Genomic DNA, 24,452 nt, shown 5'->3' with positions numbered 1-24,452 from the left:
ATAGATCAAACCACACTTCATTTTCCTTCACATGAGGATTTCGTGATGCACTTTATTATGTGAGTTTCAGGTTGGAAGCCAAGCCTGTGCTGGGGTCTCACATGGTCCTCTTACTGACTTTGGGCAAATTAGTCTCCCTGCAAGCCTCTGCTTTTCTGTCTGTAAGGGGAGGAGGTTGGACAGGCTAATGTCCTTTCTGGCATTCTGTGAGCCTCTACACATGTGGTGCAAACCAGTCTCTGAGTTGGTACAGCCTCTTTGGGCAGAGGCTAATGCAGGTTTGTGCCAATTAAAAATAAAAATGGAGCAACCCTCCTAATTAGTATAGAGATGTGGGTCATTTTTTTCACCTTATATTAATTTCCTCTAATTCAAGCTTCCTGAAATAGTTATGCTTCACAATTTGACAGTTTAGTGTCTTATAGTGTTCCTTAATCATCTCCTATTTGAAAGTCTCATCTGGCTAGGCACAGTGGCTCATGCCTGTAATCTTAATATTTGGGAGGCTAAGGTGGGAGAATCACTAGAGGCCAGGAGTTTGAAACCAGCGTGGGCAACATAGTCCCTACAGAACATTTAAAAAAAATGTTTTTTTTTTTAATTTTAAAATGTTTCATAGATTAACATTACAACATAACATTGTAATTATAATTAACATTACAACACTGTCTCTACAAAAATTTTTTTAAAAATTAGCCAGGTGTGGTGGCATGCACCTGCAGTCCCAACTACTCAGGAGGCTGAGGCGGTAGAATCCCTTGATCCCAGGAGTTTGAGGCTTCAGTGAGGTATGATCACACCACTACACTCCAGCCTGTGTGACTGAGCGAGACTCTGTCTCTAGAAAAGAAAAATTCTCATAAACCCACAAAAATATTAGATAACTTGTGGGCAACATCCACTGTAATGGTTTCAAGTGCTCTAAATCTGATCTCCATCCCAGACCTAACCACTGCATATCCCTCAGGCACCTTCAAAGCAACTTGTCTGCAACTGAACCTATTTTTTTCCTCTCCCCATCCTTTCCTTCTTGTATTCCTCATCTCCGCGAAAGCACCACCCTTTACCCAGTTGGCCAAGAATCTTCCTTCGTGCCCACTCAGGCCTGTTGATTCTGTCTCCTTAATGTTTTCGTAAAGCTCGTGTTAGTTTTCTGGAGCTGCTATAACAAATTACCACAATCTGAGTGGCTTCAAACAATAGAAATTAATTTTCTCATGGTTCATGAGTCGAGAAGTCCAAAATCAAGATGTCAGCAAGGTTGGTTCCTTCTGGCAGCTCTGAAGAAGCAGTGTTCTGTGCCTGTCCTAGCTTCTGGTGGTTGCTGGCCATCCTTGACGTTCCTTGGCTTGTAGATGCATTGCTCCAATCTCTGCTTCCATCTTCACATTGCCTCTTCTCTGTGTCTCTGTGTATGTATCCTTTTATGTTTCTTATATAATACTCTCATTGGATTTAGAGCCTACCCTAATTCATGATTATCTCATCTGGATCCTTACCTAAATTCCATTGGCAAAGCCCCTATTTCCAAATAAGGTTACTTTTTGAGGTTCTGGGTAGACATGAATTTGGGGTGGGAACACTATTTTGCCCACTATAAACCTTTTCATCCTATTTTCATGCTCTAAGTTCTAGCCCTTCCCACAACAGCCTCCTGGCAGTGATCTTTCTGTCTCCAGATTTGTCTTCCTTCCATCCCCAGTCCGCTGTTTACTTCATTTTCAAGACTTTCTAAATCGCAAATCTGGTCAGTTCCTTGCTCCCCTATTTAAACTGTTTCAGGTTCCTCCTTTCCCAGTGGCAGAGGAATGGTCTTTAAACTATGACTGGGCCATGCTGACTCTCCATGACCTGCAGGAGTGCACATGGATGGCTGTCTTTTCAGCATCCCCTGTCCGCTTCCTCCTTATGAACAGAGCCCTGATGGTTAGGACAGCAGTGGGCCCAGCTAAAACTCTATATACCAGCCTCTCTAGCAGTTGTTGCCTTGTCAGGGATGTGTGGCATAGTCCCGGCCTCTAAGAAATCAGTAGTGGCTGGGTGTGGTGGCTCACGCCTGTAATCCCAGCACTTTGGGAGGCCAAGGCAGTCAAATCTCTTGAGCCCAGTGGTTTGAGACCAGACCAGTCAACATGGTGAAACCCCATCTCTACTGAAAATACAAAATTAACTGGGTGTGGTGGTGCATGCCTGTAATCCTAGCTACTTGGAAGGCTGAGGGAGAAGAATTGCTTGAAGCCGGGAGGCAGAAGTTGCAGTGAGCCAAGATTGCACCACTACACTCCAGCATGGGTGGCAGAGCAAGACTAAAAATAATATTAATAATAAATAAGTAAATAAATAAAAATCAGTAGTAAGATGGGACTTCTAGAAAAGCTAGGCGGATTTGACGGTACATAACTTTTGTCCTTTGCCTTCCTTTACTTCCCACCTGGTATGCAGATGAGATGCTGAAGGTGTAGTAGCTGTCTCATGGCCACAAGGGTTAAGTACATACTAAAGGTGGCCTAGCAGATCAATAGCAGACCCCAACTGTGTCATGGCCCCATGATGCCTTTGTTCCAGTCTTAACTGCCTACCCTAGGAGTTACTGTTTTATTAGAAAAAAAGAAACTTTCATTTTGTAAGGCACTCTTTAGGGATATCTTTTACTCTCATTTAATAATGCTGTTCCTTCCTGATTTGATACCCTGTCTACCTCCAACCTCATCCTCTCCCTTCCCAACTTCATGTACTCAATTCTGGCCATACTGATTTATTAATACTTCCTGTGCAGTGAAAGCACAATGTTCTCTTTTTCACCTATTGGCTTTTATAGATGATGCTCTCTCTGTCCTGGAATACTATTAAGTGCCAGCTTCTCATGGAAGCTTTCCTAACACTTCCAGTCTAGGTTTAGTATTTTTATCACTCTATATACATCTCCAACCTAGTGCTTTATTGTTCTGCATTGCAATACCCGATTTACTTGTCTGTCTCTCTCCCAAGTCCCTGAGGAAAGGATCGGGCCTTTCTTTTGTGCTATGTGCAATGTCAGGCACATAGTAGATATTAAATAAATGTGCGAATGAAGGACAGAAGGATCATGTGTAGACCATAATGCCACGCAATGAGACTTATTGAGGAAATCCTATTGACTTAGGTGTATGTGGGCCACATTCCATCTTTTGTTATGCATGTGATTATAAAAACCGTGTATACTAAAAGCTTGAGGTGATACTGCAAAGCAGATGAGCCATCATTATTCAACAATGATTTATCAATGGACCATTATACATTTTTTGAGGACCGGGTCCTTACCTTACTTATATTTTCATTCCTAGTGCAGTGTCTGGCAGTTGGAAGTGCATAATTTTTTTTTCCATTAGACAAAAGTGCAAATCAGTACTTTGGGTTTTCAGAGGAAGGAGAGGATTGAAAAAATAATCCCAGAGGAAGTGGCATAGGAGCTAGGTGAGGACGGCAGGGGCTGGGACTTCAGTGGTAGCACCAGCATTGGCCAAAGTTTGAGAATGGGAAGGCATAAAGGAAGATGTCTATGGGAGACTGAGGCAGGAGAATCCCTTGAACCCGGGAGGCGGAGGTTGCAGTGAGCTGCGATAGTGCCACTGCACTTCAGCCTGGACGACAGAATGAGACCCTGTCTCCAAAAAAAAGTATAGTGTCTAGTACTCTTTGATGGAAATAATTCTGACAGTGTGAGGTGGGTCAGATCATGGAGATATTTGAATGACAAACCCTCTGGTGCTCCACCAGTCTTGTTACCTGGAGCAGAGGTTACCAGTTGTCTCTCTGGTATCAGTTCTCCCCTTCCTTTCAATATAGAACCTTGATTTTTATCTGGGCACATTTCACAGCCTCCTTTGCAGTTGGGTATGCCTATGTGAGTAAGTTCTGGTCAGTGAGGTGTAAGCAAAAGGGTTGCATGGGACTCCAGGAAGTCTATTTAAAAGGCTGAGTGTGCTGTTTTTTTTGCCTTTTCTTCCAACTGCTGCTGGAATGAAGATACAAGTGCAGAGGTCATGGTGGACTGGGAGGTAGGGGGTGCTCTCTAGGCATGTCCTCTAGGATGGATGCAAAATATCTGGTTCCAGATGACATAATAGAGAGGTCAGACCAGCACTCAAATAACTTCCTCCTACATGAGAGGGAAATATGTTCTTTTTCCCTCAAGTCATTGTTACGTGGGGGTTTCCTGTTTCATGTAGCAGAATCTAATCCTAATTGATACATCACCCAACTTCAGTGTTATGGATGTTGGGGAGCCAAAAATGAATTTTCCATAGGGCTAACTGTTAATTCAGGACATGTTCAACTTCTTGAGGGTCCTGTCTTCCTAGAACTGACTGTGGAATGAGACCAAGTGGCCCAGCCCTCCCCACTCCTCTGCTGTCCCTGCACATGGTTCCTGTCTGTTGTAAGGATGTTAATAGCTAATCACCATGGAGAATCAGTCAGAAATAACACACGGGACACTTTATTAAGTGTTCTTATACCATTTTCATAGCTACAAGTCCTCATGGATATGCCTTGGTTCATTTTCTTGGAAGTTATGGGGGAATGTATTAGTTGTTTATTGGTGCATAACAAATTAGGTATTTATTATGTTTACACCCCAAACCTAGCAGCTTAAAACAACAAACATTTATTATTCGTGGTTTCAGTTTCTGTGGGTCAGTAATATGGGCACAGATTGGCTGGATGCATCTGGCTTAGGCCTCTCATGCAGTTGCAGTCAGCCTGTCTACACTTGGGGCTGTAGTCATTTTAAGGCTCCTTTGGAGGTCTGGAGAATCCATTTCCAAGCCCATTTATGTGGCTGTTGACAGGCCTCTGAAGTTCCACTTCTAAGCGTCCTTGCATGGTTGCTGGCAGGCCTTAGTTTTTTTCACCATGTAGACTTCTCCATAGGCCGCCTGTGTGTTCATGTGATATAACAGTGGTGTTATGAAAGACAGAGAGAGAGAGAGAGAAAGAGAAAGAGAGAGACACCAGAAAGACACTAATTCAGAAGCTACAGTTTTTTTATTATATAGTCTTAAAAGTGACATCCTATTACTTCTATCATATTCTATTTGTTTTTTTGTTGTTGTTGTTTTTGGTTTTGTTTTGTTTTGTTGAGACAGGGTCTCACTCTGTCATCCAGGTGGAGTGCAGTGATGCCATCATGGCTCACTGCAGCCTCAAACTCCTGGGCTCAAGTGATCCTCCAGCCTTGGCTTCCCAAAGTGCTGATTCCATGTGTGAGTCACCGCATCCCAGCTTCATATTCTGGTTGTTAGAAGCAAATCAATAAACCTGGCTTACAGTGAAGGAGAAGGCATTATATAGGGCATGATCATCAGGAGGGAGGATCGTTGGGGGCATCTTAGAGGTTGTCTCCCACAGGTAACTTTGCTTAATTTCCTGCTCCATGCTCTAATTTCTGAGGATAATTATCTCTTCAGACATTCTCGCTTCCATGGAAGGTTTCTTTTCTGAGTTGGTGGACCCAATAATATAGTCATTCAATTAACAGATATGCAATGAGCACCTACTGGGTGCCAACCATGTGCAATGGATAGTGGATAGACCGCTAAGAAAAATGGGCGTGGTCACTGCCTGGGGCACAGCAGTATGTGGGAATTGATTATGTTTTGTTCCTCCCACTGGATAGGAGCAATTCGAGACAATCACACATTTTATCTCTGCATTTCCAGTCTTGGTTATCCATCTGCTCCAACTCATCACTAAAGGCTTCCCTGGATTCAGGTGACTCTAGGAACTTTTTCTTCAGCCAGGACACCTCCCATCAGAAAAGTAGATGATAAGGGTTGATAGGGAGGGGAGTCTCTGAAACAGGTTTGGATTCCAATCCCAGCTTCATCCCTTACTAGTTATATACTGTTTTGCACTCTACTTCTCTAAACTTAATTTTCCTTATCTGTGAAATGGGGACAAAAATAGTGTTTACTCAAAGGGTGGTTGTGAGGGTTAAATGTGAAATACTTGGCACACAGTCTGGCACATGAAGACACTTCAAGAACTTCAGTGATTCTGATTCATTACTTATTAATTTTACTGGCATTCTCTATTTGGAAGTAAAAATCAGCATAGGAAAGGAGTTCTCCCTCAAATAATCTAGTCCATCAAATCGTGTATGAGCTACCTCAAATCCTTTTTGCAACAGGCAGGGCTGGGTATAAATAAATTAACTAACGAAGAAAAAAGGATATGTATTTTTGACTTTGTATAACTGTAATCCTTTTTGCAATTGGGAAATAATCTTTCAGTAAATAGAGAATGTGGAACATGTTCAGACTAATAAAGTTCATTCAAAATGGTCAAATATTTAGCATGCCTGATACAAGCGATAGTCAACCCTCAGCACTCTCAAGTCTATGTGTGCCTCCCACCTTGTGAAATGCATTCTGGCTTCAAAATGTGCACCCAGCCTTTCCAGTGCTTCCTGCTTAAATGTATTCTGAATTTTTCACACATGCGCACACACGCTAGGAATGATGAACAGCAGTTTTAAAAACACATCGTTGAAATGCCAATTTCCAGATGGATTTGTTTTGCTACAAAGTTCGTTAACACTTGATGCACGAAATAGCGGGTGGAGAGGAGATGTAGAGTGGGTGCTTATACCCAAATAGGGTGAAACCTGCCAAGGAATGGATGGCCAAAAAGAACTGAGAAAATGAAGCAAGTACTCACATGATCTTCTGAAGATAACTCATCAAAGCTATGGAGAGAAAAGGAAAGGCAAAAACCAAAAAAGCCTGCAAGCTGGTGGGGAGATGTTAACCCTTTTAAGATTAAAGCTGTAAAATAAAGCTGTGATTTATTTTTCTGAGACTGCCTGTTTTGTTACCGAACGGCTTAATGTGTGTAGGAGAACAAAAGCTTTCAATCTATTAAATAGTCTTCTTGCTTTCCATTCCTTTCTTTCTTTTTTTTTTTTTTTAATAAAAAAAAAAAAAGAATATCTCTCAGGAAAAGCATGACCCGAGAACATATGTAGGAATATGTAGGAATTTAGAGGGAAGCCTTATCAAGCAAAGCTTTTCTGTGTTTAGATATGCTCTAATTTAAACCCTGAAAATGTGGTGATGTAGTTGCTCTTTCCAGTTACTTATAGGCTGTCTTTCTTTATGAGATGCTCAATAAGTAATGTTAAAATAATGAACAGGTGATGGCTGGGAGTCAGTCTGGGCTGTTGGCCTTTGTGCTAACTCCATCTCTGCTGGCAACTGGACATGTGATGCTGGAGGTATGGCTGTTCTAAGGTCCATTTTCCTCATCTAGAAAATGCTTGCCTCACTGGGTTTCTATGATGACGATGGCATACTCCATTCAGTCTATAAATATTTATTGAGCAATTACTATGTGCCAGCCCTGATCCCAACATTGGAGATACAGAGAAGGCCAAGACAAAATCCCTGCTTTCATAGAGTTTGTAGTCCGGGGTAGGACAATCAACAGAAAAGTAAATGTCTAAGCTGTGTAAGAATTTCTTTAGGATAGGCTGGGCACAGTGGCTCACTACTATAATCCCAGCACTTTGGGAGGCCAAGACAGGCAGATCACTTGAGGTCAGGAGTTCGAGAGTAGCCTGGCCAACATGATGAAACCGTGTCTCTACTAAAAATACAAAAATTAGCCTGGTTTGGTGGCATGCACCTGTAATCCCAGCTACTTGGGAGGCTGAGGCAGGAGAATCACTTGACCCTGGGAGGCAGAGATTTCAGTGAGCACAGGTTGTGCCACTACACTCCAGCCCGGGCAACAAAGTGAGACTCTGTCTCAAAAAAATAAAAAATAAAAGAATTTCTTTAGGATAAATACCTAGGAGCAGAATTAATTGCTGTCATTCATTTAACATGATGAAAGCACTCTTTATAATGTCTGCACCTGTCTGTCCTCCCACTGGCAAATGAGGCTTCTTTATACTCACATCCTCACCAACTCTTATCATTATCCAACTTTGTGATTTTTTTTCCAGGCATAAATGCATTTAATTTGAGGTTTTCCTCATTAGTAATGGTTTTGAGCACTTCTTCATATCTTAGTAGTATTTCTGCTATTGTAAATTGCCTGTTCATATCCTTTGCCCATTTACTTATGGGAATTGACATTCGAAGTTTATTATTATTAATCTGAATAAATTTCTTGTGTATTATAGACTTGTCCTGTCCAACATGGTAACTGCTAGCCACATGTGGCTTTCCAACACTTCAGATATGGCTAGTCTGAATTAAGACATGCTGGAAGTGTAAAATACACATGGAGTTTTATTTATTTATTTATTTATTTATTTATTTATTTTTTTGAGATGGAGTCTTGCTCTGTCGCCCAGGCTGGAGTGCAGTGGCGCAATCACGGCTCACTGCAATCTCCACCTCCCGGGTTCAAGCAGTTCTCCTGCCTCAGCCTCCTGAGTAACTGGGATTATAGACGCACGCCATCACACTAGGCTAATTTTTGTATTTTTAGTAGAGATGGGGTTTCACCATGTTGGTCAGGCTGGTCTCAAACTCCTGATCTTGTGATCCACTTGCCTCGGCCTCCCAAAGTGTTGGGATTACAGGCATGAGCCACTGCACCCGTCAGAGTTTTATATTTGAAATATAAATTAAGACATATTGGAAGTGTAAAATACACATGGAGATTTATTATTTTAAAAATGTACAATATCTCACAAATAGTTTCTACAAGAATTGCAAGTTGAGAAAATTGATGTAAATAAAGTTTCCCTTTAGAAACTATGTTGGTCCATTTTGCATTGCTATAAAGGAATACCTGAGGATGGGTAATTTATAAAGAAAAGAGGTTTATTGGGCTCACGGTTCTGCAGGCTTTACAATCATGGCACCAGCATCTGCTCAGCTTCTTGTGAAGCCGTGGGAAGCTTTTACTCATGGTGGAAGGTGAAGGAGAAGGAGGAGCAGATGTGTCACATGGAGAGACAGGGAGCAAGAGAGAGAGGAGGATATGCCAGGTTCGTTTAAACAACCAGCTCTCATGTGAACTAACAGAGGAAGAACACACTCATTAACATTGGGAGGACACCAAGCCATTCAAGAGGGATCTGACCCCATGACCCAAACACCTCCTACTAGGCCCTACCTCCAACATTGGGGATCACATTTCAACATAAGATTTGGAGGGGACGAATATCCAAACCGTATCAGAGACTAAATACAGTATTTTAACATATGTCCCTGAGTTGTTTTTCAGAAACCCAACCTCCCACCAAATGGATTTGCTGGCATGTAGATCTCAGATAAGGGGGAACTGAGGACTGAACTCTGGTCACCATACTTTGCTCTGAATTTCTTCCTGAGGGGCCTGAAGGGAGTCTGAGCTGACATTCTTTTCTGCTGACCCCAAATTTTAAACAAAGCTTCTCTTGCTTAACCAATTGCAAATCAGAAAATCTTTGAATCTATTATACCTATGACCTATATGCCCCCACTTCAAGAGATCCTGCCCTTTTGAGCCAAAACCAATGTCTAACATCCATGTACTGATTTACGAGTTTACCTGTTAACTTTCACTTTCCTGAAATTTACCCCTGCTTTTAAAAACTCTTACCTGCAAGTCATCAGGGAGCTGAAGATTTACATGTTAGCTACCTGGTCCTCCTTACTTGGTGCAAATAAGTACCTCCTTTCTACCACTGCAAAATCCTGGTGTAGGTACCTTGTTTTACTGTGCTGGGTGAGCAGTCCCCAGTTTGGTTCTATAACAACATTAAAAAGTTGGGAGATTTTATGTAAGACTTCAGATTTTGAGTATCTCTTGAAAAACGAACCTTAGCCAGGCTCGGTGGCTCACGCCTGTAATCTCAGCACTTTGGGAGGCCAAGGTGGGTGGATCACCTGAGGTCAGGAGTTCGAGACCAGCCTGACCAACTTGGGGAAACCCTGTCTGTACTAAAAATACAAAAGATTGCTGGGTGTGGTGGCGTGCACCTGTAATCCCAGCTACTCAGGAGGCTGAGACAGGAGAATTGCTTCAACAGCTGGCTGAGCTATGGCTGTTCTTTCAGAGGGCCAGGAGCCCATTATTGTCCTGCAGTCCCCAACAGTCGTCAGTGTCTCCTGACACTGAAGCTGAGGGTCAGTTGCTATTTATCATGGCATGAGCATTGTTGTTTTTCTTATGGCAGAGTTAAGAGGAAATAATGACCTGTCCCCACTAACACCCCCACATTCTCAATAGTGGAGAAAAGAGAGACTGAGAAAGTCTGTTTTTCTCCTTTCCATTGTCTTCCTAACTCCTTTGGTATTTGACTTTGTCTCTTAATCTAGACTAATTAAAAAAAAATTTAGAAACAGGGGCTCACTCAGGCTGGAGTGCAGTGGTGTGATCATAGCTCACTCTAACCTCGAGCTCCTGGGCTAAGCGGTCCTCTCACCTCATCCTCCCAAGTAGCTAGGACTACAGGTGTGTAACACCCCATACCTGGGAAATTTATTATTTTAAATATTACATAAAATTCTTTTTCAAATGAAATTTTAACTGGAACCCCATGTGGAACTCTTCTGGTGAGAGTGAGCGGGACGGTCTTCATGGGTACGGGAACTACACAGTTTGGCACAGACTCCCACGTTCAGAAGGGCCCCATGCTGGGTTTAAGGTCTGCTGTCACCATCCTAAACTTCTTAATAATTTTGTTTTTGAACTTATGTTTTATAAATGAGGTCTGAGGGGGACAATGGAGCATGCACATGAGCAGAGAAACTAGGCACAGTATCTGAGTTGTCTGTTCCCTGCTGTCTTATTTGCATATAGGATGAGATGATGCCCCATAAGCATGGCATTCTAGTTGTCCCACCTTGTGTGGGAGCCCAGAGAGACTCAAAGCCATTACAAGATATCTTACCTCTACAACTGAGTAAGCAGGGGCTGAGAAGCCACACTTTTCATTCAAACCAGAACTGGCTTCTAACCCACAAAGAAGGCAATAGAATGCTAAAAAAACACAAATAGCCGAGGAGTCCTATCATATTCTTCCTTACTCTTGTTACTTGTCTGTATCAGCCAACTGTTTATGCTGAAAATGATGGAAAAAAGGAAAGAGAAAGAATACATCAACCTGGAGCTCCTTTTCCTTGCAGTCCTTCCTTACTCATCTGTTAGCCAGTGGTGGAAAGTATTGGTAGAATATGTGCATATCAAAAAGTAAAAATTAAAAAAAAACAGTTGTATTAGTTTTGTGTAGCATTCACATTGTTCTTGTAAAAACAAAATACATATGCATGTACGAGCTACAAAATATAAATTGCCCAATTTCAGTGATTTTGTCAAGGAGTGAAGTGCTTTTATATTTGCATTTAAACCTGCATTCATTGCATGGTATAAAGATAAATGGTACAATTCATACTATTAATTTAAATTGTTAATTTTTCTTTACCTAGAATAACATTAAAAAACCAAATAAAAAACATCATGACAAGTTGAGAGAGGAACCACAGAACAAAGGAAAGAGTTTTTTGTTTTAATACTATCAGTAAGGAAAACCTTTTCCTCTACCCTCTTATGTTCATTGTTTGGGATCCTGCAAATTAAAATGGCAAAAGATTCATAAGCAAGAAAAAAGAGATTTGTATTTACCTAAGTAGATAAAGTATGACTTAAGTGGCTTAATCTGGGGCCTCAATACCATCTTACAAGGGAACGGGGTAGAATTTCAAGTGACAATCAATGGTGGGAAATGACTGAGACATATATGAGGGAAATTAATGGAAAGTGAGTTTTGTTTTAGTAAAGTCTGTTTATGCAGTTTTCCATCCCTACATACACTTCTCATCTCTGATGAGAGGAGTCACCCTTTTCCTCTGGTACAGGAAGCCTCTCCTAAAGGGTGGGATTTATGGCAGCTTTTGGGAGGCTCGGTTTTTAGGCAGAAAAGGTAAGTTTAAACAATGATTCTTCTTGTGTCTGCTGATTTTGAAATGTCTTCAGCTCAAAATAATTTTTATGCCACAGTAGTGTAATCTGGAGCCCTTCAAATATCTTGCATATTTTCCTTGCTTTTATGACAAGGGACCCCACATTTTATTTTGTGCTGGACCCTGCAAATCATGTAGCTGGCCATGGAAATTGGATGGGAAAGACTAAAAAAGTCCAGAATCCCATGTCTTATGCCTGCCTCTATTAGATGTCCCTAGGGCATGCTGGTAAAATCCAAAATAATCCTTCTCCTTGTCCTTCTTCCTTTCTTGCAAGAACCATAAGTTCCATAAGGAAAAGAACGTTGCCTACAAGCTACAGGTTATACAACTCCCGGGGGCACCATTTACAAGGATGATGCCTCCTAAATGTGGTGCAGCATGGTGGCCCCAGGTGTTTACTTCTATACTAAGGCCACACAGATGAATGGTCAAAAATTTGGTGACAGAAATCAATGTTAGATTCTTTAGCTTCTGTTTCCTTCCTCCTTTATTGCCACTGCCTCCAATTCTGTTACCCAAAAAAACTGGAGCTCTATCACCTGGCAAGTAACGAACAATGCTCAACTAGAAAGTAGGTTTTGATCAATAGGAATTTACTTGTCACAAGTAAGGAGAGCACTGGGAGGATTCTCCAAAGCAGTGTCTCCCCAAGGAAGCGTGATAGAAAGCTTTTATGGGGCAATAGAAAGGGAAGAGGATGTGTCATTGCATGGAGAGGAGGGGTCCCATGCATACAGTGAATCATTATGTCAGCACAGAAGTCACATGTTATGATAATGAGGCTATAGCTCCTCCTGGGGTGGGGAGTTTAGCATGGTAATGAGGAAAGCCCACTTGGGTTCATAGATAAGTTGCCAAGGTCTGTCAAGAACTCATTCCAACCCACTAGGTGACCACATTCCACATACGGTTTGGGAAAAAATAGGCTGCAAGGCAGAAGGCTGTAAAATAGGCTAATTGCTCAAATTGATTAAATTTCTATAGTCCCTGGAGACCCTCCCTATCTGCTTGCAATTTCACTCCTTGATTTCCATATCCATTTTAACTGACATTCTTTTTCTCTTCTAAATTTCTTTGTGTTATATTTCTATCCTCTTTTAAAACCTCATTTTAATTTTTTTTTGGTTATAAACAATAATGCATGTTTATTGGAGGAAATATAGACTTGCAAAAATATATAAAAATAGTAAATAAAACAAACATTTATAATTATATCACCAGAAGATAAGCATTGTTACTATTTTGTTACATATTTTTCTTCTCTCGTTTATACAAGCAAACCAATGTAGAAACATTTTTTCTTTCAAAAATGGAACACACTGTAGATAATATTTAGTTAACTGCTTTTTTACTTAATAATATTTCATCAATAGTTTTCCAAGTTCTTAAATATTTTCTCCAAATCCTTTTTAATGGTTGCAAATGATTCCATCATTAATGCTTAAAAATTATCATTCATAACTATTCCCTATTTAGGACTTTTTTTTTGCTACAATACTACTTTCATAAAATCTCCACATGCAACTTTTTTCACACCTCTGTGATTATCTTCTGATGTCTTTCTTGTTTAATCTTGTAGGTCCACAGATCGTTTCTTTTATTAACCAAACTTTGAGCTTCTTGAGGCTCAAATTCAGGTTGATTCACCTTTGTTTCTCTCAGAATACTTTAAAATTAGGGAACCTTCCAATATGTTTGTTTAATGAAAGAGTTTTATTGTTATGCAGTCTTCCTTAAATGGAATAAAAAGATGGTAAGATATGAAAAGAAGTAGAGTTAACTAACTACAGCTGACTTTCTAAAACTTCTGCCAGTCTGCTTTGTGGGCTATCTGTGGATTTTTTTCCCCTCTCATCCTGTGTCTTTTTATTTTCAGAGTCAAAAACATCTGGCTGCATTTTAAATTGATTCACACAATTTATTTCACCAGCCTCTAGGCCCCAAACTGTTTCTAGATATGCATCAGTGTCTGTGGTAGAAGTCAATGGGGGCTCTGCCTCTGCATCTGAGAATGTAATCTGCTCCTGAGTCATTATGTAAAAATGATTCCCTTACGTAGAATTGTTTAGTGTGAAATAGGATTGTTTGCTTTCCATTTACTTTTCACTTCCTTAATTAGAGTGACCTCCAGTTTGAATCTACCAACTGTTGGATTCTATTATATCTTTCCAGGAGTTCCTCCTATAATAAGGTTAACTTTAAGTACTGCATTTCCTCGAGGATGACATAAAATTCACTCTGCTTTAGAGAAAATAAATCCAAGTTCTCAATAAATGATGCCAGACAGAATTCTAGGAATATTGTAGTCAGGCAATTTTGAATGCTCCTCCCTTCATTGCTGCATATAAATATTGCTTTTTTTTTTTTTTTCTCAACAGTCTCGCTCTGTCACCCAGGCTAGAATGCAGTGGCGTGATCTCAGTTCACTGCAACCTTTGCCTCCCTGGTGCAAGCGATTCTCCTGCCTTAGCCTCCCCAGTAGCTGGGATTACAGACATGCACCACCATACCCGACTAATTTTTGTATTTTTAGCAGAAATGGGGTTTTGGCACGTTGGCCAGGGTGGTCTCAAACTCCTGACCTCAAGTGATCCACCCGCTTCGACCTCTCAAAGTGCTGGGATTACAGGCATGAGCCACTATGCCTGGTCAAATATTGCTTTAAAGCAGCCTCCCCTACCTTTTAGGAACTGGTAGCTGCTGGGGTCTATCTTCAGAGCATATATCAGGACATCCTTTGCTTGGTGGGGGCTAACAACACCTTTCTAATATTACTTCTCTTGGGTCCAGAAGTTAATGTGTGACTCTGTCTTTGTATACTCTTTCTATAAAAGAAAGCTGAAACACACAGGAGGATTGGATCTGTTTGGGGAGCATATTACATGAGTTGATAAATACACTTGATTTTTCTCTTTTTGCTTCTCAATTCAGCTTCATCCACACCCTCCCCAGTATTCAAATCTAATGTGTGACAAAATGGTAAGACTCTGGGATGAAGTGGCCAAAACAATGATCAGGATTACCCCTCCACCAAGTCTCTGAAGGGTTACATAGCTTCGTATTTTCTAAGTGATGTCCGTAACCACGAGGTTCTTGCTCTTCAAAGGCTTGTCTAATACTTACTGGATCTCCTGACCTGAGATGTCCCATGTCTCTTGTAACTTGTAGGATATAAAAATAAAACCCTAAGTTTCCTACCTGACCCCAGAGAAACCAAGTTCCCAACCATGACGGATGGGAGCTTGGACATGCCTCATTGTACCCCATCCCTTGCTGACCATGATTAGGTTTTCTTTCCTAGGGATTAAACAGAAACCAGCCCTTTTGAAAGTCTCCACCACTGATTTCATCAGACTCCCCTCTCTTTTGTGGTTTAAACATAACAATGGACCAGCATTCCTTCCTGATGAGAGACCACCCACCATGGGATGGTTCTGGTTAGTTTATGGAGGCTGTGCATGGAGCAGCTTTGTGTCCTCTGCTTCACCTTTTGATGTACAGGGCCTAATTGTAATACATCTAAATGTTAAGTCTCCACCCCAAAGTGACCATGGGACATATGTAACACAAATGTTAGCTTACTATGCATATCATGTGCACACCCTCATTCATGAATATTCATAGCTTCTCCTATAACCTGTTGAATATGTATACTTAGCCAATGGATTCTGCATAAGTTGCTGTCTCATCCTTCCCTCTTCGAAGTGCCTACTTCTGGTCTCTGCTCGAGGCTATGATTCCCAGCCTTCACGATGGCCAGCCTGCAGGCTACAACCCTTTATAAGAAATAGAGCTCACTTCTCCGAATTAATGAACCCTGTGATTCTTCAGTGGACACTCGAAATCTCCTTTTGCTTGTCTGGAAGCACTAGTTTCTTTCCCATGTCCATTGTGGAAGACAATGCTTCCAGTGGAACCCTTGCAAGTTCTGAAATCCTGAACAGAGGTGTTGCTGTGTCCTGTGTGACAAGATCTTACCAATCCTGCCACATTGCCTGCCTCTGCTGTACGCACACTTGAGCATTTTAAGCTCAGATGTGCAGGAGCAATTTGTATGTGCTCCTCTTTCTGCCTGGAATGTTCTTTCCTACTTGTCCCAGTGCTGGTTGTTTCTTATCCTTTTGGACTCAGCCTTAAGTGTTACCTCTTTGAAGAGGCCTTCCTAGACCACCAGAAGTGATGCTGTACATATTTAACTGTCCTCAGACATAGGCACCATGCAATAAGGACAGACTCAAATATTAACAAACAGCATCCTTGAACTGGGGCTAAATGGGTGAATACCAGCTCCTGCTGATCCATCTGGTTCTTTGATTTATGGCAATAATAACAATCTGTAAATATTTATTTATTTGTTTATTCACTCTTTCTGAATATTTTCCCCAGTAGTTTCCATGAGAGTAAGACTTTTGTGTCTTGGTCACTGTTGAGGAAGACAAACATTTCCTCTGTCCTCTTATGTTTAGTGTTCGGGAGTCTGTGAATTAAACTGACAAAAGACAGAATAGCAAGAGGAAAAACAGATTTTTATTCATGGATGTGCACTGGAGTTCATAGAAAAAGATGACTCTCCAAGCAGCCAAAGATATGGGGTTTATAACCACTTAATAAGGTGAAAGGCATGAGGGGAGGAAAGACTTCTATGGGAAGACATTTCGTTAGGAAAGGTTAATGGGCTTTTAGGAGAACAAAATGGGAGATAGGAAAGTTTGTGACAATGTCTGTTTATGCAGGTGCAAGTGGTCTTCTCCTTCTTCTTTCTGGTCGGTATAAACTCCTCTGGAGAGAGGACTTACAGTAGTTTCTTCTTTTTTAACTTTTCAGTTCAGGGGTACATGTGCTGGTTTGCTATATAGGTAAACTTGTGTCATGGGGCTTTGTTGCATGGATTCTTTTGTCACCCAGGTATTGAGCCTAGTACCCGTTAGTTATTTCTCCTGTTCCTCTTTCTCCTCCCACCTTCTTCCCTCAAATAGACCCCAGTGTCTGTTGTTCCCCTTTTTGTGTCCATGTGTTCTTATCATTTAGCTCCTACTTATAAGTGAGAACATGCAGTACTTGGTTTTCTGTTTCTGTGGTAGTTTGCTAAGTATGATGGCCTCCAGCTCCATCCATGTCCCTGCAAAGGACATGATCTCATTCTTTTTTATGGCTGCATAGTATTCCATGTACCACATTTTCTTTATCCAGTCTGTTACTGATGGGCATTTAGATAGATTCCATGTCTTTCCTATTGTGAATAATGCTGCAATGAACATACACATGCATATGTCTTTATGATAGAATGATTTATATTCCTTTGAGTATATACCCAGTAGTGAGATTGCTGTGTCCAATGGTATTTCTGTTTTTAAGTCTTTGAGAAATTGCCACACTGTCTTCCACAATAGTTGAACTAATTTTCACTCCACCAACAGTATATAAGCATCCCTTTTTCTTGACAACCTTGCCAGCATGTGTTATTTTTTGACGTTTTAGTAATAGCCATCTGACTGGTGTGAGACATTCTGTTGTTGATGGTGGTTTCACAGTCTCCTTTATGAAGTGAAGCTGCCCCAAAAGAGGAGATCTACAGTAGCCTAATTTCCAGATGTTTCTGCCTTTAGTCAGATAAGAGAAGCTCCAAAAAGTCTTCTTTCTACATCTGTCAAATCTCAAATGTCTTTAGTTAAAAATAATCTTCATATCAACTCTGGGGGTTTGAGTACATCTTCATATCACAGCACCAAGTACTATGCCTGATGCATAGTAAGTACTCAACAAGTATTCATTGGAATATGAATTAATGAAACAATAGAGAGATTACTTAGGTAACCAATAATCCACTGTGGTTGCTTGTCCCAGGTAGAAGAGTGTGCATGTGTAGCGGTTGACATGAAGGGGAGGTTATTGTCGTCTATGTCAAAACCCCGACAAAAGTATTCACAATGCTCTGGAGAAAAAGGATACCTTAACTTTATAATTTAAAATACATGTTTCTTTTGTTGGAGAGTTGGTAAGTCCCATGACTTGATGCAAATGTAGTTCAGCGGTAAGATGCTTGAATATGTGGGCCTTCTCTGGCATTTTTCTTTCTGTCTTACAGGAAAAAGCCCAGTTTTCTGTGCGTAGTAGTCCAGAAAGAGCTACTTTTCATTTCTCCCAGCCCTTGAGATCACCACAGATGGGCAGCTGCTAGTAGTAAGGACCTGGTGTGTGCTCAGAATGCTACAGTGGGCGGTGGGATGCAGGAAGGAGGGGTGTGTTCAGGAACTTCACGGAATGGGCAGAGCGGGCAGCTTCTTTCCATGGCCCTGTGTCTATCTGAAGGGTTAATAAATATGAGGGCAACTGCTGTCTTATTGTCTACTGGGATGAGATATTTTAAAACTCTTTTTCTTTAATGAGAACCTTCAAGCATACACAAAGGAGGGAGAATCGTGTCATGCCCTCCAGTGTACCATCACCCAGCTTCAACAATTATCTGCATTTGAACCATCTTGTTTCATCTCCAACCCTGCTCCACAATTATCCTTACACTCCCCAACCCCTCCCCCCACTAGATTATTATTTTAAAAACTTTTTAAGTTATTTTTATTTTTAAAAATTTTATTTTTAATCTACAAATAGCAATTGTTTTCACCAGATTATTTTAAAGCAAATCTCAGATTGCATATTCTGTCATTGATGAATATTTCAGATCTTATTTATAACAGATGAACACACATTTACAAATTATTACATTTACTTATTTATTTTTGGTGGGTTGGTTTGCTGTTTATTTATTTATTGTGGCAAAATATACATAACAAAGTTTGCTATTTTAACCATTTTTAAGTGCACAATCCAGTGGCATTAGAAACATTCACATTGTTGTACAACCATTGCTCCCCTTCTATCTCCAGAACTTTTCTGTCTTCCAAAACTGAAATTCTGTACCCATTAAACAATAACTTCAATTCCCTCCATCCGCCAGCCACCCTACCTTCGGTCTCTATGAATTTCAGTACTCTAGGTACCTCATATAAGTGGAATCACACAAGATTTGTCCTTTTGTGACTGGCTTATTTAACTCAGCATAATGTGTTCATGGTTAATCCATGTTGTAGCATGTGTCCAAATATCCTTTCTTTTTAAGGCTGAATAATATTTCACTATATACGTATACCACATTTTGTTTATCCATTCATCCATCAATGGACACTTGGGTTTCTTTCATGTTTTGGTGATTGTGAAGTATACTGCTGATATGGACAGGAGACAGGGAAACACTGGGTAGAAGAGGACGGTTCCCCGGCAAAGGGCCCCCATCCTGAACTCATGTAAACCCTGAATCCCAGGCTCCAGAAGCAGAAGAGTAGGCAAGGAAACAAGGAGACAAGCAGATGGACAATGGAACAATGTGGCAGAGAAAGAGAGAAGTGGAGGAACGTCTGAACACTGACAGGAGTCCAGCTGGAGGTGGTTGAAGAAGAATTCAGCTGCTGGAAGGCCAAACTCCAGGGGAAGATGGGATCATTTTCCCACTCCATCCCCCACTTCTGACTTCCTATCCATTCCACTGAGAGCCATCTCCACCACTCAATAAAACTCCACATCCATCCTTGAGTGACCTAATTCTTTCAAGATGCTGGGCAAGAGCTTAGGAAACAGAAAGCTGTCACACTGGCCCTCTGCCCTTGTAGAAAGGCAGAGGGTCCATTGTGCTGGTTAACACTCAAGCTGTCTGTGGACAGCAGGGCTAAAAGGGGATACTGCAACTCATGCCCACTTGGGCTCCTGCACCTGTCTGTCTGTGTGCCCCCACTCGCCTCAGGAGTTTGAGCAGCAGTGGCCACTGAACAGGTGAGGGAGACCAGGGAACTCTCCCGTTTCACTGCTATGAACATAGGTGTACAAGTATCTGCTTGAGTTCCTGCTTTTAATTATTAGGGGTATATACCCAGAAGTGGATCATATGGTAATTCTATGTTTAATTTTTGGAGGAGAGCACATATTTTTAAAAATAACCAGTTTTGTTGTACATATGAAACTTTAATAGTAATTTTTTTTATCCCTGTAGTGTTTACAATTACCCAAGAGATAGTACTGTAGTGGTTAACAGCTGAACCATTGCACCTGCTTATCTGGGCAGATCACTGAAATATCCCGTGTCTCAGTATCCTCATCTATAAAACAGGGAAATGGATTGAGTGTGATGGTTAATTTTATGTGTCAACATGACTAGACTGAGAAATGACTATGTAGCTGGAAAACCTTATTTCTGGGTGTGTCTATAAGGGTGTGTGTTTCTGGGTGTTTTTCCGGAAGAGATTCATATTTTTCGTGAATCAGTGGATTGAGTGAGAAGACCTACCCTCACCAATGTTGGTGGGCATTATCTAAGTTGTTGAGGGCCAGAATAGGACAAAAAGATGAAGGACAGGCAAATTCTCTCCTTCTTAAGCTGCACCACCCATCTCCTGTTCTTGGACATCAGCTTTCCTGGGTCTCAGGCCTTTGGGGTCTGAGTGTGCTTCCCACCCTCCATCAGGTTCTGAGGCTTTTGGTCCTTGACTGAATTACACCACCAGCTTTCTGCTTCTCCACCTTGCAGACAGCAGATCATGGAGCTTCACAGCCTCCAAAATTGTATGAGCCAGATTCCATAATAAATGGTTCTGTTTCTCTGGAGAATGCTGACTGATACAGTGAGCTAATATACATGAAGCACTGTAAGCAGTGTCTGCGGATTCTGAGTACTGTCTATATACTTGGTTCTATTATATGCTTGCCAAATATCAGTGTTGCTAATGAGAATTCTCATATAGGTCCGATTTTTGTTCTATGTAGGTAGCCCAGGACTGAATCCAAGATTTGGAGGCCTAAAACTTTTATAGAAAAGATCACAAAACTAGACACACACACACACACACACTCACAGACACACACAAACTCATCAAAAATTTGATATGAAATTTATTTAGAGTCAGAGAGAAAAATCACAACAAATAATTGGCGTCTTAGAGATTCAAGTCTCTTTTTTCAGAGACCTCTTTAACTGGTTGACCTCACATGCTAATGAGAGTGTCCTTGTTGATTTCAGCCTAGCCCCTCCCCTCACCAAGGGCTGTTGTTAAGTTTAAATGAGTTATTATGTGTAATGTGCTTAGATCAATGCCTGGCATAGAGTAAGTGCTCTATAAATTTTAATTATGATGGTTGGTATGATATTGGAAAAGGAGCAGTTTAGGGAGGAAGTTGTGAGAGAATGTGATGAGCCCAGTGTGGGGCAAAAGTTTGCAATGCCTTTAAGAGATTCAAGAAGTGATGTCAGATAGTGCTCAATGAGTGTTTGATGATGATCATGACAATGGCAACAACAGGGATGACAACACCAGTCCACGTAGGCCTCTGTACCATCAGCCTGTGAATGGGAAGGCTGTCTGGGGGCTCTGAGGATTCAAGCTCTGACTGCTCAGCTGGTTTCACTGCAGGGTGAGCAGTCAGGGAGCCACTTTCTAGACTGGAGCCTCTCAAATGCCAGAAAGTTGGCGCCTGTACTGTGGCAGAGCCTACCTCCTCCCTAGCCTTTCCTCCTCTCCAGGAAGTTGCTTCAGCTTTTTAAGACAAGATTTATCTGGGTTTTCAGCCTGGAGGTAAAATGCTGGGGAGGGAAGGTGGTGGCAGTAGGGTGAGATGTAGCTTTGCTTACTTGGGGTTGGGGAGCTGCAAGGGGAGTGTGGGAGCCACAGCAGCCCCATCAACCAAGTGCTGCACTGCTTGAAACAGAGAATGGGGGAGTCAAGAGAGGAAGGGAGCTAGTGGAAAAAGACCTTCTAAAGGTAAATTCAATTAGCCTCTTTTTTATTGCTACCCTTTACTGACTGTGCCCATCCTGACTCTATAGCTTCTCTAGGGCTTTCCTAGCAATTGTCTCCTTCTGTCTTTGTAATCACCACCCACTTCCTTACTCCCTCTCTTTCATCCACCAACTGGCTTCCACTCTCTACGCATTTATTAGAAATTGGGTGATGGTATTCATTGACGGTCCTCTATCTGTGCTTGTCTTTGTTATGGGTTTGTTCTCTTACTACCATTTATTGGGTCTTGACAGGGAGAGATGATAAATGCTTGTGTCAGTCCTCTTTTCCTAGTGGATGCTTTTCTACAGATGTCTAAAAATACCTTTCACTTGAATATTCCATTTCTAAGAAAACTATCTATTCTCTGATGTCAGAAGTGAAGGGCAAAGCTGTACTGCTAGCAAAGAATTATCTAAATCAAATATGAGCAGTGACGGTTGTCCAGGGCATGTTTTTGTTATCATTAAATTCACCTCGCTGCTGCTTTTGTTTATGGCTCTAGCAAACGTGGGCTGTAATCCCAGCATTGCTTGGCCCACTGGAGATATTTCAGTTTGCTCTCTGCCTAGTGATCTCTGTCAGCCTGAGACAAAGTTTTCTATCTTTTAAGTAAGTTAATTAAAAATGCTTGTATTTTCCAAATACGTGATCACCAGTTTTGCTTTCTATTTTTATCACTCCATTTTAGAATGGTCAAGAACCTGAGATAGACTCAAATAATTTATGGCAAACACAGCAACACTATAGAGAAGTCATACAACTGTCCTGGAAATTGTGGGAATACCACAAAAAGCTAGAAAACCGTGGTCCCCAAAGCCATACATGTATTTATTTATTTGGAAGCCAGTATGGACTGTGAACAGAAAATCTGCAGGAGAAAAACATAGACTGAAGCCCAGGATTAACTGGAAATCATTGCTTTGGTGGAATCATTTTCTCAGCTTTCTCTTAGCTTTAGTTAAACATACTTGGGACTGTTTCTTTCTGGGTTATTTTCGCATGTGTATTAAAAAGCAGAAAAAAAGTGGTGGTGGTGATGGTGGGGAGACTAATGAGGAATAAATAATGGAAAAATGCTGAAAAAAACCCTCTTTGTTTATAAGTGTATTAGACCTTATAAACTTAAATAATCCACGGATCATTTCCATAGTAGACTATTATGGCTCAGAAGAGCCATTGTGGTAATGTAGCAGCTGATGAGCTTATGCACAGAGTCTGCATACTAAATGCCCTTATGTAGTTGGGAATGAAATATGGGAGCTGAATATGGCCAATCATCATTTTTAAAAATAATGAAGTACCCTACCACCTCACTCTTCCACCAGCGTCCGCCAAAATTGTGAAGAGCTGAGTCAACCTAATGAACAATTTGCCTGAAAATGTAATTGAAAAAAAAAAAAAAAAAAAAACCTCTGTAATTGTAGCGGGAAAAAAAAAACCCAAACTGAATGAAAATAGGGCTCATATTTTGAAGCAAAAACATATTTTTGCATTTGGGGAAAATGGGTAAGCCTGTGCCACATCTCGTTTCAGCAAGTAATGTTAAAGCCTTGGAAATTAAATCATAGACACCCTGGGTTTTAGAGAAGGGATAGAGGTGGGGACCTGGCTTTGCCAAAGCCCTTTGGGCCTAAATAGCAACACCCTGCTTGGCCATGCTGGAGAATAGACTGCCAATTGTGCCAAATTATATGATGCTTTTGAGATGTGCACAAATAGCCCATTACACTTTTCACAGCATTCCTTCATTAAGCCCGCAGAATTGTTTATGTTTTGCTGATAATCGCTTCTGAAAGGTCAAGAATTGCTTACTTGACTTTTTGGTGCCCTTCGGGGAATAATGCTGTTAACCATTTGCAGCTTCTGCTCCTCAGAGCTGACATTTGCTCCAAGGTCTGCCATTGGCCATCAAGACTGGGTCCCCCTCCCCAACGCGCGCACACACACACACACACACACACACACACACACACACCCCTTGGTTGGGGTTAGGGAACATAAGGAGGATCCTGGAATTTCCGCCAGTTGAGATTTTGTCGAACTTTCTGTTACAGTTGATGTTTAGCCCTGATGGCAGTAGGCTCTGGTGGCATTAGGAAAGCAGCAAAGGGCAGTTGTTTTATTATTATTATTTTAATTTCAATAGTTTTTAGGGTACAGGTGGTTTTTGGTTACATGGATAAGTTCTTTAGTGATGATTTCTGAGGTTTTAGTGTACCTGTCACCCAAGCAGTGTACACTGTATCCAATATGTAGTATTTTATTCCTCACCCCCTCCCAATCTTCCCCCCAACCAAGTCCCCAAAGTCCATCATATCATTCTTATGCTTTTGCCTCCTCACAGGTTAACTCCCACTTATAAGTGAGAACATCCAATATTTGGATTTCCATTCCTGAGTTACTTTGCTTAGAAGAGGGTGGTGGTTTTGAGAGGGGGCCCTGGAACAGACAACTTGAGCTCAAACCCAGACCTACTCCTTAGGAGGTAGGTGACCTGCGGTCATCTCAAATCTCAAGGGCTCAGTTTCCATATGCATAAAATGGAAATAATAGTATCACCACTTCAGAAGGTGCTTTCCTGGCGTAGAGTGAGCATTAAAATGTTAACTCAAAACAAAACAAGTAGCCTTGGAAACCTGCCAAGGGTGGGCCTTGACCGGCAACATTGCATTATATACACTTT

The 24,452-nt window shown here is 41.2% G+C and overlaps 1 long non-coding RNA gene across 2 annotated transcripts in view, besides 1 other annotated feature; it reads left to right on the top strand.

The window, feature by feature from the left end:
* Positions 1-24,452, top strand: part of LOC105377114 (uncharacterized) — a 144,240-nt gene that overhangs the window by 81,017 nt on the left and 38,771 nt on the right. The window lies entirely within an intron of this gene.
* Positions 15,048-15,662: an enhancer, noted in NCBI's record as "OCT4-NANOG-H3K27ac hESC enhancer chr3:61317711-61318325 (GRCh37/hg19 assembly coordinates)". NCBI's record gives its function as "activates a minimal SCP1, AML or CMV promoter by ChIP-STARR-seq in naive and primed H9 embryonic stem cells {active_cell/tissue: H9 hESC(naive and primed)}" and the evidence as "EXISTENCE:reporter gene assay evidence [ECO:0000049][PMID:30033119]".

Source organism: Homo sapiens, chromosome 3 (genome assembly GCF_000001405.40).
Source record: "Homo sapiens chromosome 3, GRCh38.p14 Primary Assembly".
NCBI classification, from domain to species: Eukaryota; Metazoa; Chordata; class Mammalia; order Primates; family Hominidae; genus Homo; species Homo sapiens.
This window is presented reverse-complemented; position numbering and strand designations above follow the sequence as displayed.